Source organism: Homo sapiens, chromosome 19 (assembly GCF_000001405.40).
Source record: "Homo sapiens chromosome 19, GRCh38.p14 Primary Assembly".
Classification (NCBI taxonomy): domain Eukaryota; kingdom Metazoa; phylum Chordata; class Mammalia; order Primates; family Hominidae; genus Homo; species Homo sapiens.
The window spans coordinates 19,617,189-19,628,537 of NC_000019.10; the positions used below are offsets into that span (position 1 = coordinate 19,617,189).

The 11,349-nt window shown below is 55.5% G+C and overlaps 2 protein-coding genes across 7 annotated transcripts in view, besides 3 other annotated features; both read right to left on the minus strand.

Moving 5' to 3' along the window:
* The window catches only part of PBX4 (PBX homeobox 4), a 56,975-nt gene extending 55,476 nt beyond the window's left edge, over nt 1-1,499 (minus strand). For all 6 annotated transcript variants that reach the window (NR_038198.2, XM_047439471.1, XM_006722911.4 and 3 more), the window contains exon 1: nt 1,323-1,499. Coding sequence is in view for 3 of the 6 variants with exons in the window: in NM_025245.3 (NP_079521.1) it covers nt 1,323-1,441 (119 nt within the window). In the remaining 3 variants the exon portion in view is untranslated. The remainder of the gene's footprint in view (nt 1-1,322) is intronic.
* Nucleotides 1,281-1,490: a silencer, noted in NCBI's record as "silent region_10450". NCBI's record gives its function as "represses an Ori minimal core promoter by ATAC-STARR-seq in GM12878 lymphoblastoid cells {active_cell/tissue: GM12878}" and the evidence as "EXISTENCE:reporter gene assay evidence [ECO:0000049][PMID:35858748]".
* On the minus strand, nt 6,467-11,032 carry LPAR2 (lysophosphatidic acid receptor 2). The gene is made up of 3 exons (NM_001395660.1): nt 10,904-11,032; nt 9,355-10,096; nt 6,467-7,381 (listed from the first exon to the last, which is right to left on the minus strand). The coding sequence occupies exons 2-3, from the start codon at nt 10,085-10,087 to the stop codon at nt 7,068-7,070; spliced, it is 1,047 nt and encodes a 348-aa protein (NP_001382589.1). The 5' UTR covers nt 10,088-10,096; nt 10,904-11,032; the 3' UTR covers nt 6,467-7,067.
* Nucleotides 6,512-6,806: a silencer, noted in NCBI's record as "tiled region #12805; HepG2 Repressive non-DNase unmatched - State 23:Low, and K562 Repressive DNase matched - State 8:EnhW". NCBI's record gives its function as "represses a minimal TATA promoter and a strong SV40 promoter by Sharpr-MPRA in HepG2 and K562 cells {active_cell/tissue: HepG2 | K562}" and the evidence as "EXISTENCE:reporter gene assay evidence [ECO:0000049][PMID:27701403]".
* Nucleotides 10,783-11,282: a silencer, noted in NCBI's record as "silent region_10451". NCBI's record gives its function as "represses an Ori minimal core promoter by ATAC-STARR-seq in GM12878 lymphoblastoid cells {active_cell/tissue: GM12878}" and the evidence as "EXISTENCE:reporter gene assay evidence [ECO:0000049][PMID:35858748]".

Sequence of the window (11,349 nt, forward strand, 5' to 3'; positions counted from 1 at the left end):
CTCAGATTGGTACAGGATGGTCTCACTATGTTGCCCAGGCTGGTCTCAAACTGCTGGACTCAAGTGATCCTCCCACTGGGAGGCAGCTGGGATTACCTACCCATGCTACCATGCCTGGCTTATACTTTTTTGCTTTTGTTTGAGACAGGGTCTAGCTCTGTCACCCAGGCTGGAGTGCAATGGCTTGATTCGGCTCACTGCAGCCTCAGCCTCCTAAGTAGCTGGGACTACAGGCTTGCATCATCACACCTAACTAATTTTTTAATTTTATTTTTAGTAGAGACGAGGTCTTACTACATTGTCCAGGTTGGTCTCGAACTCCTGAGCTCAAGCAATCCTCCTGCCTCAGCCTCCTAAAGTGCTGTGATTAGAGATGTGAGCCACTCCACCCAGTCCTTATTTTTTGCTATTTACATTCCCTCCCCTAAATCATGTACTCGAGAGCAGGGACTATGTCAGCACCCGGTTCCCTATCCAGTTATTGTAAGGATTCAATAAAAATTTGCTGAATTCATTAAAAAGAAAATAGGTCTTCCATCTCCACCCACTCCTCTACTAACCCTTTTCCCAAAAGTTCTCGATGGTTCCCACACCAAGTTACCCCAGTTCAGTTCTTCAGTCTCCTGCAGACATTCCTGAGTCCCATTCCCAGCCACTCACTCTCCATCATCTGCCCTGGAAACTTCCCACCCACAGGCCGGGCTCGGTGGCTCGCGCCTGTAATCCCAGCACTTAGGGAGGCCGAGACGGAATGAGTGCTTGAACCCAGGAGTTTAAGCAACTATAGCGAGACCCCTGTCTCTACAAAATATACAAAAAAATCAGCCGGGCGTGGTTGCACGTGCGCCTGTGGTCCCAGCTACTCGGGAGGCTGAGGCAGGAGAATCAACTGAGCCGGGGAGGTGGATGCTGCAGTGAGCCATGATCACGCCACTGCACTCCAGCCTGGGCGACAGAGCAAGACCGTGTCAAACAACAACAAAAAAACTTCCAGCCGCAGGAGTCCCATTAACGTACCCATTTAGTCATTCACTCGTCAAAAGTCCCGTACGTGCCCATTTCTCAGCCCTACTCCCTAAACCCCTAAACCCAACCTTCTCGCCCCAAGATGAGCTGCTGAAAATCCTTCACGCCACTGCTCGGCCCCATAAGGCCTATCCAGCCCGTTCCGTTTGAACCCCATACATCCCTTCGTCCTCGGGACCCCCCTCCAGCCCTCCTCAAGCGCCCCTCGTCAGTCTGGCCTCCACGCCCCGTCCCCTCAGCCCGCCAACCTCACTGCCACGACCCTGCGTGGCCCCTGCCGAGCCCGCGGGCAGCACCTGGCCTGTGCCTCGTCCAGGCTCTGGTCGGTGATGGCCATGATCTGCTGCAGGACGTCGCTCGTGTCGAGGCGCCGCGGGGCGGGGGGCGATGGCGCGGGGCGCGGCGGGGCGGCCATGAGCGGCAGGGCCGGGCGGGCGCTGTGAGGGTGCCGTCGAGCCTGGAGCACTACCACTGGCGCCGCAGCCAACCGCCGCTGCCTGAGCGCCGCGCCCGCTCTCGCTCGCGCCTAAGCCACGCCCACCGCCGCTATCGCCAGCCAACCCGTGTATTGCACCGCCTACAGACACGCCCCTTCATCTCCGTCAGCCAACCGGCGCCACGCACCGCCCCCGGGACTCGCCCCGAACTTCCCCCTCTCCGGGCTTGGACTGGGTTTGGGGTTGCCGAGGCAACGGCACTTCTCATAAGCGCCCTCCTTCCCCTTGAGAGAGGGCAGCGCTGGCTCCGCTCCAGCCAGAGGCCCCCATCCCTCACATCTCGCGCGGTGCACGCCTCCTTCAGCCCCACTCGCATCTCCTCAGAGTTCCTGCTCCTCCTCAGGGCCCCCTTCTCCTCAAAGCCCTCGGTCCTCAGAGACCCTCACTCCCCAGAGCACCCCAACTCTTCCTCCAAGCCACCCCCTCCTCCTCAGAACCCCACACCTCTTATAGCTTGATCGACAGCCCCCATTCATTTCCAGAAGCCCCAAGCCCCAGACCCCTGCTCAGTCCCCCTAATGCTCCCTGCATCCTCAGCCCCATCAGGTGGGCCACTGGGGCCCCTGGCTCTTCCTCTAGAGCTTTCCACGCCCCGTTCACCTGGCTAAGGCGGGGCGCAGGCGTGCGTGGTTGATGGCAACGAGGAGGTCAGAACGCAGCGCTTTTCTCCACTGCAGAAATCAATTCCAGTCACCTTTCAAGGTCCAGCTGAAGAGTGACCTCGCTTGTTTATTCATCTTCGCAGATTACAGTTCTGGGCATAGAAAATGCTACCACGTGGTTACCGAATGAAGGAAGGATGTTTACTGAGAGACTCCCCTGCAGTGTACCCCAAATCAGAGCGAATCCTCACATCTTTGTTTCTAGTCCTTAGGACACAGCATCGAAGGCTCCTAGTGCACAAGAAAAGGAACTGGGCGGTGGCTCATGCCTGTAATCCTAGCACTTTGGGCGGCAGAGGCGGGAGGATCACTTGAGCACGGGAGTTTGAGACCAGCTTGGGCAACATAGTGAGACCCCGTGGTGGTGCACGCCTGTGGTCCCAGCTATTTGGGACTTGAGAGGCTGAAGTGGGAGGATCACTTGGGCCTGGGAATTTGAGGCTGCAGTGAGCCATGATTGCACCACTGCACTGCAGCCTGGTTGACGGAGACCAGGTCTCAAAAAAAAAAAAAAAAAAAAAAAGTAATGGCCTGGACATGAATCTCTTCTCCAAAGTCACAGAACCTCCTGGAGCCTATTTGCTATGAGGACAGTCTCCAGATGTGGGCTCAGTAAAAGGTCCTCAGCCTGCTGGCTGGGAGCCCTTCCAGGGTGGGGCCCACGTTCTCTCCATTGCTGCTGGGGAGGAAATTCAAACACCATCTGGTATGGCTGGATTGGAGAGCGTCGGGAGACTCCAAAGGGGACGGCAGGGAGTGAAAAATGAAAGACATTGACCGAGTGTCTGGACAATAGGGAAAGCTCTCTGATGAAGGAAACCGACACTTGGCTCCAATGACAGAAAGTAATAGATTGCATGGGAGCCACGGAGACCAGTGCCTGTTCAAAAGGTCACCCACAAGCACAGCACTGCCCAGGAGGCCTGAACAGTAGTGGCCTTCAGGCTGGGTGCAGTGGCTGACACCTATGATCCCAACACTTTGGGAGTCTGAGGTGGGAGATTACTTGAGCCCAGGAGTTCAAGACCAGTCTGGGGAACATAGTGAGACCCCATCTCTACAAAAATAAAAATTAAAAAAATAGCTAAATTAGCTGGTCATGGTCCCAGCTACTTGGGAGGCTGAGGCGGGAGGATAAGTTGGGCTCAGGAGGTCGAGGCTACAGTGAGCTGTGTTTGTGCCACTGCACTCCAGCCTGGGTGAGAGAGCAAAACCTGCCCCCAACCCCAACAAAGTAGTATCCTTCAGAGAACTTGGAGGGGTGGGCACTGAAAGCTTCAGGGACCAGCAGAGACAAAAATTTGAAGCCACTTGGTGGAGACGGGAGATCGACAAGAGGAAATGGTCTCGAAGGAGACCCACGGGGTGCAGGTTAAAACCTGGAGGAGCTGATGTGAACAGCCAGCTCAGAGCGCCTGAGACAGAGTTGCCTTTTTTTTTTTTTTTTTTTTTTAGACAGAAATCTTACTCTGTTGCCCAGGCTGGAGTGTAGTGGCGTGACCTTGGCTCACTGCAACCTCCACCTCCTGGGTTCAAGCACTTCTCCTGCCTTAGCCTCCTCCTGAGTAGCTTACAGGCACCCACCACCACGCCCGGCTAATTTTTGCATTTTTAGTAGAAATGAGGTTTCACCATGTTGGCCAGGCTAGTTTCAAACTTCTGACCTCAGGTGATCTGCCTGCCTCGGCCGCCCAAAGTGCTGGGATTACAGGTATGAGCCACCTCACCCGTCCCACTGTTGCCATTTGGAGGTCATCAGGGGTCTCTACTGCATAGAAATTAGTTGGCAGCCTTGGCACTCAAAGTGCTCGGCCAGGGCCATTTAATATAGAAGGACCTGGGAGTTTTGGGTTCTTTGACAATGCATATTTCAGTGGTTTAAGAATTTGGCACAGGTGGCTGGGCATGGCGGCTCACATCTCTGAGTGACCTGGGTTCAAATTCTAGCTGTTATTCAGCATGGGATTCAAAAGTAGGGACATAACCCCACCTCCTCACTGGTGAGGTGGGAGCAGAGAATGACATCCTGGCACACACTGTGCCTTGGAGGGGGCCTCCCTGAGCATCTCAGAGGGGGCTCATGATGGATCTGGCACTCATGGGTTGGGTGCTGTGGGGTGAGGTAGGGAAAGCCCAGCTGAGCTTGGGACCAACCCTGGGCTTCGTGGGAATCTGAAGTCCCTTTCCTAGGGGCCTCTCTGGTCCCTCGGGGCCTGTATGTGCCATCTCCAAGCTGTGTTTACCATGGGCCAGATCACAACCTGTCTGAATCAGTGTTCTCACATAAAAATCAGAAAGACTGATCCCAGCACTTTGGGAGGCCAAAGCAGGCGGATCATGAGGTCAGGAGTTCAAGACCAGCCTGGCCAATATGGTGAAATCCCATCTCTATTAAAATACAAAAAATTAGCCAGACATGGTGGTGCATGCCTGTAGTCCCAGCTACTTGGGAGGCTGAGGCAGAAGAATCGCTTGAACCTGGAGGGGGCGGAGGTTGCAGTGAGCTGAGATCATGTGAGACTCTGTCTCAAAAAAAAAAAAAAAAAAAAAAGGCCAGGCATGGCGGCTCACGCCTATAGTCCCAGCACTTTGAGAGGCTGAGGCGGGCGGCTCACCTGAGGTCAGGAGTTCGAGACCAGCCTGGCCAACATGGTGAAACCCCATCTCTACTAAAAATAAAAAATTTAGCTGGGTGTGGTGGCATATCCCTGTAATCCCAGCTACCCGGGAGGCTGATGCAGGAGAATCACTTGAACCTGGGAGGCAGAGGTTGCAGTGAGCTGAGATCACGTCATTGCAGTCCAGCCTGGGAAACAGAGCAAGACTCCGTCTCAAAAAAAAAAAAAAAAAAAAGCCCAGCACAGTGGCTCATGCCTGTAATCCCAGCACTTTGAGAGGCCGAGGCGGGTGGATCACAAGGTCGGGAGTTCAAGATAAGCCTGGCCAAGATGGTGAAACCCCATCTCTAACAAAAATACAAAAATTAGCCGGGCACGGTGGCAGGTGCCTGTAATCGCAACTACTTGGGAGGCTGAGGCAGGAGAATCGCTTGAAACCCGGGGGCGGAGGTTGCAGCGAGCCGAGATTGCACCACTACACTCCAGCCTGGAGGACAGAGTGACACTCCATCACAAAAAAATAAAAAATTTAAAAAAAAAAGCACCTAAAGTGTTTACCAGTATGCCAGGCACATCAGAAGAGCTTGAGAAATGGTCATGCTCAAATCCTGCATCCCACTACCTGAACCCCACAACCTGTGGCTGGAAGTATGAATACAGGTGGTGGGGAATGGGATAGAAACGGCTGGGCACGTGACCTTGAACCATCAGGGCTCAAACAAAAGGGCAGTGGGGAGGGAGGGGGCTCATAGGGTCCAGACACTACTCTGAGCTGCAGAGAAAGACAGGGAGACAGGCAGTGAGATGGAGGCAGAGCAACAGATGGGGGAAACAAAGAACAGAAGCAGAGAGAAACAGATTCAAGACCCCAGTAAGAGAGAGGGGCCAGGCGTGGTGGCTCATGCCTATAATCCCAGCACTTTGGGAGGCCAAGGTGGGTAGGTGGATCGCTTGAGGTCAAGAGTTCGAGACCAGCCTGACTAACATGGTGGGACCCCATCTCTACTAAAAATATAAAGATTAGTCAGGCACGCGGTAGCTCACACCTGTAATCCCAGTACTTTGGGAAGCTGAGGTGGGTGGATCATTCAAGGTCAGGAGTTTGAGACGAGCCTGGCCAACATTGGTGAAACCTCATCTCTACTATAATACAAAAATTAGCCGAGTGTAGTGGCAGATGCCTATAACCCAGCTATTCGGGAAGCTGAGGCAGGAGAATCGCTTGAACCCAGGAGGCAGAAGTTGCAGTAACCTGAGATCAAGCCACTGCACTCCAGCCTGGGTGACAGAGCGAGACTCCCTCTCAAAGATAAACAAACAAATAAATAAATAATAAAAATAAAAATACAGAGATTAGCTGGACGTGGTGGCACGCGCCTGTAATCCCAGCTTCTCCTGAGGCACAAGAATCTGGAACCTGGGAGGTAGAAGTTGCAGCGAGCTGAGATTGTGCTACTGCTCTCCAGCCTGGGCTACAAAGTGAGACTCTGTCTAAAAAAAAAAAAAAAAAAAAAGAGAGAGATGGAATAACAGCCAGCCAGACTGAAGAAGAGCGAGCACAGGGCCAAGGAGATACCATGTTGAAAGATCCTTTCTGGACTTGGGCCAAGGTAGACAATTCCGGGACACAGGGACAGAAACACTGAATTGATAACAACAAATGTTTTGGAGACCTCAGAGTGTAAAGAAAGGTTTACTCCTTGTATCATCCCCTCCCCGTGGACTGCTTCAATTCTATCGGGGACAGGCCAGTCCCTGGAGGCTGCAAGGAGCCACAAACCTTTCCCAGCTCACACTCTGCACCCCTCAGTCTCTGCTGCTAAAGAATCAGACTCAGGTAGATGGGGTGTCCACAGTCTGTCCTCATTACCCAGTCATACCGGGTAGCATGGCCCGAGAGAGCCCTTATCTCTCCCCACCTTAAAACCCTCAGCATCACACAGCAGGAACCAGTCCACAGGGCTTACCAAGGATACGCAGTGAAAACAGAATAATGTCTGTTACAAACCCCCTAAACCTGAGATGGCTGAAGAGCCAGATTCCTGCACCCCATCTGACTCCCCCAGGCAGTGGGAGATGACCCAAAGCCCCCATTCCCTGGGCAGAGTGGTGTGCCTGGGGAGGCCTGGCAGTGGTGCTGTGCCATGCCAGACCTTGTCCTGCCAGTCAGTCAGTCCTGTTGGTTGGGTTGAGCCAGGAGCACCCACAAGTCATCAGGGGCTGTGGATTTGTTGCTTGCCGCGTACCGCTGAAGTTCAAGGTAGCTAAAGGGTGGAGTCCATCAGTGGGTGGCCGTTCTCGGGAAGCATGATGCGAGTGCTGGCACCTCCCTGGGCAGAGGATGTATAGTGGACAGACTCGCGGGTGGACTGGCGGAGGCACGCGCAGCAGAGAAGGCGGCGGAAGGTGCGGCGCATCTCAGCATCTCGGCAAGAGTACACAGCAGCATTGACCAGGGAGTTGGCCTCGGCCAACAGTAGGAAGTACTTTTCTACAGCCAGGACATTGCAGGACTCACAGCCTAAACCATCCAGGAGCAGTACCACCTGGCCTGGTGTCCAGCAGACCACGAACGCCCCTGTGGGACAGAGGCGGAAGTGAGCAGGGCAAGCTGTCAGAGGCCCGGCACCTACAGCTCTCAGTTTGGGGTTGGAGTGGTCTCCAGAGCTCGAGCAATAGTGGTGAAGTTTGCAGTGCAAGAGCTGCTTGTTTCCCTGATTCTGCAGTGTGACAGGAAGGCCTGCTAAGATGGGACATCTATGCTAATTGGTACACAGTGGCCAAGGCACTGGACATTTTGTGTGTGTGTGTGTGTGTGTGTGTGTGTGTGTGTGTGTGTGTGAGATGGAGTCTCGCTCTGTCGCCAGGCTAGAGTGCAGTGGTACAATCTTGGCTTGCTGCAACCTCTGCCTCCCAGGTTCAAGCAATTCCCCCACCTCAGCCTCCCAAGTAGCTGGGACTACAGGTGTGTGCCACCATGCCCGGCTATATTTTTTTTTTTTTGTATTTTAGTAGAGATGGGGTTTCACCATGTTGGCCAGGATGGTCTCGATCTCCTGACCTCGTGATCCGCCCGCCTCAGCCTCCCGAAGTGTTGGGATTACAGGCATGAGCCACTGCGCCTGGCCTGTGTGTTTTTTTTTGAGACAGGGTCTCCTTCTGTCACCTAGGCTGGAGTGCAGTGGCACGATCACACCTCACTGAAGCGGCACGATCACACCTCACTGCAGCATTTGACAGGCTGAGGCAGGACAATCACTTGAGGCCAGGAGTTTAAGACCAGCCTAGGCAATATAGTGAGACCTCGTTTCTACAAAAAATAAAAAATTAGCCAGGTATGGTGGCACATGCCTGTAGTCCCAGCTACTCAGGAAACTGAGGCGGGAGGATCACCTGAGCCCGGAAGGTTGAGGCTGCAGTGAGCTATGATGGAGCCATTGTAATCCAGCCTAGGCAAGAGTAAGATCCTGTATCTTAAAAACAAAAATAAATTTTGAAATTTAAAAATATGGGCCGGGCGTGGTGGCTCATGCTTGTAATCCCAGCACTTTGGGAGGCCAAGGCGGGTGGATCACGAGGTCAAGACATCGAGACCATCCTGGCCAACATAGTGAAACCTGGTCTCTACTAAAAATAGAAAAATTAGCCAGGCATAGTGGCACGCACCTGTAGTCCCAGCTACTCAGGAGGCTGAGGCAGGAGAACCACTTGAACCTGGGAGGCAGAAGTTGCAGTGAGCCGAGATTGCGCCACTGCACTCCAGCCTGGGTGACAGAGCGAGACTCTGTCTCAAAAAAAAAAAAAAAAAATTAAAAATACATATAGATTAAAAAACAATTTAAAGGCTTTTTGTTAAAACAGGCTTAGCACTGCTAAAAACTCCTTTTTTTTTTTTTTTTCTGAGACAGAGTTCTGGAGTTTCGCTCTTGTTGCCCAGGCTGGAGTGCAATGGTGTGATCTCGGCTCACCACAACCTCCGCCTCCTGGGTTCAAGCAATTCTCCTGCCTCAGGCTCCCGAGTAGCTGGGATTACAGGCACACACCACCATACCTGGCTAATTTTGCATTTTTAGTAGAGATGGGGTTTCTCCATGTTGGTCAGGCTGGTCGTGAACTCCCAACCTCAGCTGATCTGCCCGCCTCGGCCTCCCAAAGTGCTGGGATTACAGGCGTGAGCCACTGTGCCCGGCTAGCACTGCTAAAAACTCTTAAGGGGTTCCCATGAAACTCAAAATAAGACTCCTGTCCGTGCCCCTTAAGGCCTTGCTGATCTCTCCTCCTCACAAGCCCACTTTCCTCTTTAGAGGCTCTGGCCTCGTACTGCCTTGAGGTTTTTACTTTCCGTTTCCTCTGCCTGGAAGGCTCTCTGTTCCTATCCTCAGCATTCAGGCCTCTGCTCACATACATTATCACCTCCTTGGAGGACATTCCCCACCTAAATCATCCCCCATCACCCTCTATCAGGTAGCTTGTTTTGTTCATTGCTTCGCAGTGTCTTGTGGGAGATAGGGGGAAGCAGGGTCCCTGTTGCCCCCTGGGGGCCCCACTTACCCAGGATGATGACAACAGTCTTGACCAGGCTGAGCGTGGTCTCTCGGTAGCGGGGGTGGCAGCTGACATGCTCTGCCATGCGCTGCACTCGCCGCCGCACGTAGAAGAAAATGCGGGTGTACACAGCCACCATGAGCAGGAAGACAAGCAGGCTCGACAGAGCCCAGACGGCCAAATAGGAGCGGCTGAGCAGGGGTGCCATGCGTGAGCAGCGGTCCAGGGCACAGAGGCAGTGCCAGGAGTGGGCAGGCAGCAGCCCCAGGCCCAGGGCAGCCACCCACACGCCCACAATGAGCATGACCACGCGGCCACGGGGCAGGCGGCTGTGCAGCTGCACGGCCATCACACTGCGGTGCCGCTCCACGGCGATGGCCAGCAGTGTGGCCACCGACGCAGTGAGGCTTGTGTCCAGCAAGCCCTGCCGCAGGAACCAGCCCTCAAGTGAAAGTCGGGCTGTGCGGGGACCAGTGTGGAACATGAGGAAGAGGTAGGCCACGCCCGCGAAGAGGTCAGCCGCGGCCAGATTGCCGAGCAGGTAGTAGATGGGCTGGTGGAAGCGGCGGTTGGAGGCGATGGCTGCTATGACCAGCAGATTGGTCAGCAGCACCAGCACGCTGACGGTCAGCCCCAGTGCCACCACGACCACATCCTTGGGCCGCCAGTGGGAGCTGAGCTCTTTGCCACTGTTGTTATAGAAGAAGCCGATGGTCTCGTTGTAGTAGCACTGGCCCATGATGACCATCTGGGGACACAAGAGATCAGTGCATGTGGCACTTCTTGGAAGGACACAGGGAGGGGCGGCAGCTGCAGAGGAGGGTCAGCGCAGGAAGGACAAGGGTCTCAAATTCAGATACCTCGAAGCAAAGTGGCAGTGGTGAGGACTACGGTGGCCTGGAAAAAGCAAGCTCCATGGGGCTGGGGTGGAGGTGGAGGAGCAGCTGTTTCTTACCTACTAATAAGACCTGTGTGCAAGACATCACCCAAGTCAATAGGTTTTTGAACCAGAAGTGAAACAAAACCCATCTATGGTCGAATCCCAGCCCACCTGCCGCCAATGTGTGACCCGGTTTGGGTTGTGGGGAGAGGAGGGTTAGGGAAAGACAAAGGGGTGTGAGCTGCGGGAAGAGATGAGGGAGGATCACTTTGGTGCCGGAGTCAGTGTAGGGAGCAGAGACCCGGGAGCGTGTGCACACAAGGGTGAGGTCACTTGCTAGAACCCTGCGAGGGGGCGGTGCCGAGGCGTGGAGGTGATCGGAGTGGACAGAGAGGCGGCCCCAGAAGTTAGTCGGCGGGATTTGGGCGCGAGTGCTTCCCAAGCGGGCGGGGCAATAGGCTGTTCCGGGTGGGACGGAGGACACTGGCGGTCTCCGGGACAAAGACAGCGGTTGGGGAAGGGATGGATGGCCGGGCCTCCAGGCGTCTCCAGACTGGGGAAGGGGTAGGGGGTTAAGGGATCAGAGGGCGGCGTCCTGGCCCCGCAGGCACGTGCCGCGCCCTTCCCCCGGGCCCAGGCCCGCACCCGCCCGCCTCCCGTCCGTGCAGGCCTCACCTGGGCCTCCAGTCACGCCGCAGACAAGGCGGGCTCGCGGGGGTTCGGGGCGGGCTCGAGGCCCATGGCCCGGCGACTGCGGCGGGAGCGGTAGAGCGTCCGGGTGCGCCCTGTGCGGGTTGCTGAGAGGGCGCGGGAGGCGGGGTCTCCCCGGCGCCCCGCCCCCACCACCTGGGGGAGCCCTGCCCCGCCCCGCCACCTGGGGGAGCCCCGCCTCCACGGCCGCGTCGGGGGCGGTGTCGCCCGGAACCGCAGCCCCCCTGTTTCCTCCCCGCCTCGCGGCCCCTCAGTCGCCCCTATTTCCGGCGCGGGACCCCCACCCCGGTACCTGCACACCTCATGCGCCCGCAGTTTCGAGCCTGCGGGGCTGAGTCACTCGGCGACCCGAAAATTCCCGCCGTGACCCCGCGCTGCCCGGGCGGAGCTCCAGGTGGTCTTGGGTCCGC